Source organism: Homo sapiens, chromosome 7 (assembly GCF_000001405.40).
Source record: "Homo sapiens chromosome 7, GRCh38.p14 Primary Assembly".
NCBI lineage: Eukaryota > Metazoa > Chordata > Mammalia > Primates > Hominidae > Homo > Homo sapiens.
In genome coordinates, this window is record NC_000007.14 from 99466758 (window position 1) to 99472841 (window position 6084).

At 52.0% G+C, this 6084-nt stretch overlaps 1 non-coding gene across 1 annotated transcript, besides 2 other annotated features; it reads left to right on the forward strand.

Moving 5' to 3' along the window:
* Nucleotides 1–2926: 2926 nt before the first annotated feature.
* Nucleotides 2927–2998, forward strand: TRW-CCA5-1 (tRNA-Trp (anticodon CCA) 5-1). Its single transcript has one exon. It is a non-coding gene; the product is annotated as a tRNA-Trp (tRNA).
* Nucleotides 5373–5532: an enhancer, noted in NCBI's record as "active region_26317". NCBI's record gives its function as "activates an Ori minimal core promoter by ATAC-STARR-seq in GM12878 lymphoblastoid cells {active_cell/tissue: GM12878}" and the evidence as "EXISTENCE:reporter gene assay evidence [ECO:0000049][PMID:35858748]".
* Nucleotides 5753–5842: an enhancer, noted in NCBI's record as "active region_26318". NCBI's record gives its function as "activates an Ori minimal core promoter by ATAC-STARR-seq in GM12878 lymphoblastoid cells {active_cell/tissue: GM12878}" and the evidence as "EXISTENCE:reporter gene assay evidence [ECO:0000049][PMID:35858748]".

The window sequence follows — 6084 nt, forward strand, 5'->3', positions numbered from 1 at the left end:
AAACAGTGTGGTGAGGAGTGGGGGTAGAGGCTCTCTATTTTGCTCAGGCTGGTCTTGAACTCCTGGCCTCAAGCGTTCTTCCTCCACCTCCGAAGTAGCTGGGACTACAGGTGCACGCCACCACGCCCAGCTAATTATATTTTGTAGAGAAGGCGTCTCCCTATGTTGCCTAGACTGCTCTTAAACTCTTGGCCTCGAGCGTTCCTCCTACCTCGGCCTCCCAAAATACTGGAACTGCCGGCATGAACCACACTGCCCGGGCTACTTCAATTTTGATTATTTTAATTAATTTATTTATTTATTTAGAGACAGAGTCTCGCTCTGTCACCCAGGCTAGAGTGCAGTGGCGCGATCTCGGCTCACTGCCAGCTCCACCTCCGGGGTTCACTCCATTCTCCTGCCTCAGCCTCCCGAGTAGCTGGGACTACAGGCGCCCACCACCACGCCTGGCTAATTTTTTGTATTTTTTTGTATTTTTAGTAGAGACGGGGTTTCAACATGTTAGCCAGGATGGTCTCAATCTCCTGACCTCGTGATCCACCCGCTTCGGCCTCCCAAAGTTCTAGGATTACAGGCGTGAGCCACCGCGCCGGGCCTCCGATTTTTAAAACAACCTCGAGAGCAGGTCTTGTAGTCATAACTTGCCAAATAAATGCCACCCTCGTTCAGTTCATTCTGCTACATTTCTTGTTTCAGAGGTGGCATTGTGGGGCTCCTCCATGTCTGCTTCCCTTCTCCCCAGGCAGTGAAAATCGCATATACAATTATAGGTGTGTGAAAGCACGGCCAGCATCGCCAGTGGGAATTAAAAATGGTTAAAAAAACAAAACAAAACAAACAGGCCAGGTGCGGTGGTTCACGCCTGTAATCCTAGCACTTTGGGAGGCAGAGGTGGGCGGATCACTTGAGGTCAGGTGTTCAAAACCAGCCGGGCCAACATGGTGAAAATACGAAAAAAATTAGCTGAGCGCGGTGGCAGGTGCCTGCAATTCCAGCTACTTGGGAGGCTGAGGCAGGAGAATCACTTGAACCTGGGAAGTGGAGGTTGCAGCGAGCGGAGGTCAAGCCACTGCACTCCAGCCTGGGCGGCAGAGCAAGACTCTGTCTCAAAAAAAACAAAAAACAAACAAACAAAAAAAAACCAGGCTGGTCGCGGTGGTTCACGCCTGTAATCCCAGCACTTTGGGAGGCCAAGGTGCGCGGATCACCTGAGATCAGGAGTTCGAGATCAGCCTCCTCAACATGGCAAAACCTCATCTCTGCTAAAAATACAAAAAGTAGCCAAGCGTGGTGATATGCGCCTGTCATTCCAGCTACTCCAGAGGCTGAGGCGGGAGAATTGCTTGAACCTGGGAGGCGGAGGTTGCAGTGAGCAGAGATGGGGCCACTGCACTGCAGCCTGGGTGATGGAGTGAGAACTTGTCTCCAAACAAACCAACCAACCCCAGCAAATATAGTAGTGTACTGCGGTAGGAGTGTTCTCAACGGTTCCTTGCACCCTTGAACTCTCTGTCTTCAAAGTTTATTTCACTTGCTCCTTGCGGTGTGTGTTGACCATCCACGGTATAATGCGGGTATAATGTAGTCTTAGGAGTTTATTACCCGCCTTGGGCTGCGTCCCTAAGCAACTGAACCCCCAGGAAAAACCCTGCCCATTGCACCAGGGCCTATGTAACTCCCACTCCCCAGGGCTGGGGCAGATGCCAGGGCTGGGGCAGAGGGCCCCGCAGGAAGGATCAGGGATGGGGTCTGCCGGACCCCAGGTGTCAGGTCCTCCGTGGGGCAGGAATCGGCCTGGGGACCTTCCTGGTCCACCCAGGGAATCCTCCTGCAGGGTGCGAGTATGGGACCTGGAAGACTACGAGGGACCGAAGAGACCCGACTGCACTGTGTCCGGGCAGAGGCAGCCTCCGGGAGCTGATGGACTTGAGGGCTGGGGCAGGGGAAGCTGAGGGGGCCGCTGTTCCGTGGGACGTGCAGGAGAGCAGCAAAAGGCAGGAGTGGCCAGTGGCACCCGCGCCCCCGCCCCTTCCCCAGGCCGGACACTCGCGGGGACGCAGAGCCGCCGGAGCCCAGGATCCGCACACTGGAATCCAGGGAGGCCCCGGGAAGAGGCCGGAGGGAAGCTACGCCAATGCCCGATCCCCTGGGGTGGATGGAAGGACTGAGGGCGCAGGAGCTGTGATTTGTATATGTATAAATGCCAACGTTTTAGTTAATGAACTGGGGTTGTTTCGGGGAAGGTGGGGGTGGGTTGGAGGGAGCAGATTATTCCAAAGATAATTTTTTTTTTTTTGGTAAGAGACGGAGTCCCGCTCTGTCGCCCAGGCTGGAGTGCAATGGCGCGATCTCGGCTCCCTGTACCTCCGCCTCCCGAGTTGAAGCGATTCTGCCTCAGCCTCCCGAGTAGTTGGGATTACTGGCACCCGCCACCACGCCCGGCTAATTTTTATATTTTTAGTAGAGACGGGGATTCACCATGTTGGCCAGGCTGGTATCGAACTCCTGGCCTCAGGTGATCCGCCTAGCCTCGGCCACCCAAACTGCTGGGATTACAGGCGTGAGCCACCGCCCCCAGCTTGAACATAGTACTCTTTCGTTGATCTGGCCCTCGTGCAAATTCTTAGTGCTCCCCAAGCAGAGGGCTGGGGAGAAGAGAATCCGGATCCCTGACAACCCCGCCCCAGCCTTCTCTGCTAAGCTGCGTGAAACATTTTCCACTGTGGCTTCCCAAACGTGTCTCCTTAGGAGACTACACAGCCCGAGGCAGGTGAATTTTCCCGAATGACAAGAGGATTATTCCCGAACCCCGTGGTGGCGTCTGCTTCTATCCTGTTTCGTTTACTTTTACACTTCCCTCTGAATTACAAAAGGGAAAAAGAACTCTTTAGGGTCCATCTAAAGCACAAAAAAGTTAGGTTTCCAAGACCTCGTGGCGCAACGGCAGCGCGTCTGACTCCAGATCAGAAGGTTGCGTGTTCAAATCACGTCGGGGTCAAACATGTGATCATCCCTTTCTTTAGCCAACAGGAGTTATAGCTTGCCGGTAACTCTCAACCTTGGACACTGTATTTTCTGTTCTTTAGCCCTAAAGATTTATTTGCGTAGGTACTTCAGCAGTGGACCGGCACCTTAGCTAAAGTGTGAGGAAAAATTCAGAACCAATACTTAGGTCGTGCTGTTCACATCTGTAGCAGGATTTATCAGGACTGTGCCTCAGACAGTACATTCACAGGACTTCAGACAGGACCTTAAAACAGTGCAGGAGCACTTTGGGAGGCTGAGGCGGGCAGATTGCTTGAGCCCAGGAGTTCAAGACCAGCCTGGGCAACGTATCAAAACCGTCTCTCAAAAAAAAAATAAAAATAAAAAAATAAACAAACAAACAAACAAAAAACAACGATAAAAGCAAAAGCAAAAATGCCAGGTGTAGTGGTGCATACCTGTAGTACCAGCTGCTGCTTAGGAGGCTGAGGCGGGATGATCCCTTGAGCGCAGGTCGAGGCTGCAGTGAGCTATCATTGTGCCACTACACTCCAACCTGGGTGACAAGGTGAGACACTGTCTCTAAATGAAAAAATAAATAAAACGGTTCAGAGCTCGGGAAATAGTTGCCTTCCCAATCCAAAAACTACCTGCCCACCCTGGGGGCTGCTATCCTTGGAGAAGCATTGGTGGTGCAGCCTGATCTCCAGCATTTGAAGTTCCAGCACCACTAGCACAAAGCGTTATTCAAAACAAATGAGGAGGAAGTCAGTTGTCTTCCCCGAGCCGCTCCTATGGGACTGCGCTGGCCTGACGTGTCATCCGGCTCCCTCCCCACATTCGTATTCCTGGAACGACCTGCTGGACTGAGTTCCTTGTCCTCTCCCTAGGGGTGGCCAGGCCTGACCTCACTGCCTTCCCTATGTTCAAATGTCTTGAACCTGGAGTACTGAGTGTTCCTGTTTTCTGTTAAAGCCAACAGGAGCCAGGTGCGATGGCTCATGCCTGTAATCCCAGAACTTTGGGAGGTCGAGATGGGAGGATCGTTTGAGCCCAGGAGTTTGAGACCAGCCTGGGCAACATAGCAAGACCCCATCTCTTTTATTTTTTATTTTATTTTATTTATTTATTTATGAGACAGAGTCTCACTCTGTCACCCAGGCTGGAGTACAATGGCACAATCTCGGCTCCCTGCCACCTCCGCCTCCTGGGTTCAAGCGATTCTCCTGCCTCAGCCTCCCGAGTAGCTGGGATTACATACTCCTGCCACCGAGCCCGGCTAATTTTTGTATTTTTAGTAGTGACGGGGTTTCACCATGTTGGCCAGGCTGGTCTCGAACTCCTGATCTCAGGTAATCTGCCTGCCTTGACCTCCCAAAGTGCTGGAATTGCAGGCGTGAGCCACTGCACTCAGCCAACACACATATGTTTATTGCAACACTATTTACAATAGCAAAGACATGGAACCAACCCAAATGCCCATCAGTGGTAGACTGGATAAAGAAAATGTGGTACAAATACACCATGGAATACTAAGCAGCCACAAAAAGGAATGAGATCCTGTCCTTTGCAGGGACATGGATGAAGCTGGTGGCCATCAGCCTCAGCAAACTAACACAGGAACAGAAAACCAAACACAGCATGTTCTCATTCATAAGTGGGAATTGAATATTGAGAACGCATGGACACAGAGAGGGGAACAACACACACCTGGGCCTTTTGGGGAGTCGGGGGTAAGGGGAGGGAACTTAGAGGATGGGTCAATAGGTGCAGCAAACCACCATGGCACATGTAACAAACCTGCACGTTCTGCACGTGTATCCTGTTTGTTTTGTTTTGTTTAGAAGAAATAAAAAACAAACAAAACTTGGGAGGCCAAGGCAGGCGGATCACTTGAGGTCAGGAGTTCGAGACCAGCCTGGCCAAAATGGTGAAACCCCGTCTCTACTAAAAACACACACACAAAAAAAATTAGCCGGGAGTGGTAGCGGGCGCCTGTAGTCCCAGCTACTCAGGAGGCTGACGCAGGAGAATGGCGTGAACCCGGGAGGCGGAGCTTGCAGTGAGCCGAGATCGCGCCACTGCACTCCAGCCTGGGCGAGAGCGAGACTGTCTCAAAAAAAAAAGAAAAAAAATTAACCCCTTACTCACATTAAAACTGTATTTTGGGGGTAATTTACATAAGCCACACAATTATCCTTTTAATTAAGATCTAATATTCTTTTTTTTTTTTTTGAGACAGAGTCTCGCTCTGTCGCCAGTCTGGAGTGCAGTGGTGGGATCTCGGCTCACTGCAAGCTCCGCCTCCCGAGTTCAAGTGATTCTCCTGCCTCAGCCTCCCGAGTAGCTGGCACTACAGGCACGCCGCCACCATGCCCAGCTAATTTTTTTTTTTTTTTTTTTTTTTTTGAGACGGAGTCTCGCTCTGTCACCCAGGCTGGAGTGCGGTGGCGCAATCTCGGCTCACCGCAACCTCCGCCTCCCGGGTTCAAGCGCTTCTCCTGCCTCAGCCTCCCGAGTAGCCGGGGTTACAGGCAGGCACCACCATGCCCGGCTAATTTTATTTGTATTTTTAGTAGAGACGGGTTTCTCCATTGTTGGTCAGGCTGGTATCGAACTCCCGACCTCAGGTGATCCACCCGCCTCGGCCTCCCAGAGTGCTGGGATTACAGGCGTGAGCCACCGCGCCCGGCAATTTTTTTGTATTTTTAGTAGAGAAGGGGTTTCACCATGTTGGCCAGGATGATCTAAATCTCTTGACCTGATCCGCCGGCCTCTGCCTCCCAAAGTGCTGGGATTACAGGCGTAAGCCACCGCGCCTGGCCCATTTTTCTTCTTTTATCTGATAACCTTACTCCCCTCCACAAACACACAGCCAAAGAAACGAATTGTGTCGCTCTTGAATCATAGAATAATTCTAAATTATGTTACGATTAAACAGGAGGGGCGGGGCCCTGTCCATCACGTGACTCTCTCGGTGCTGTCTCCGGCCGTTGATTGGCCTGGGCGGGGAGGGCGGCCGTTGATTGGTTCGGGCCCACTCGCGCGGGCGCCACTCTCTTTGTCTGACAAGAGAGTCGTGAAGCCTCCGCGGTCCTA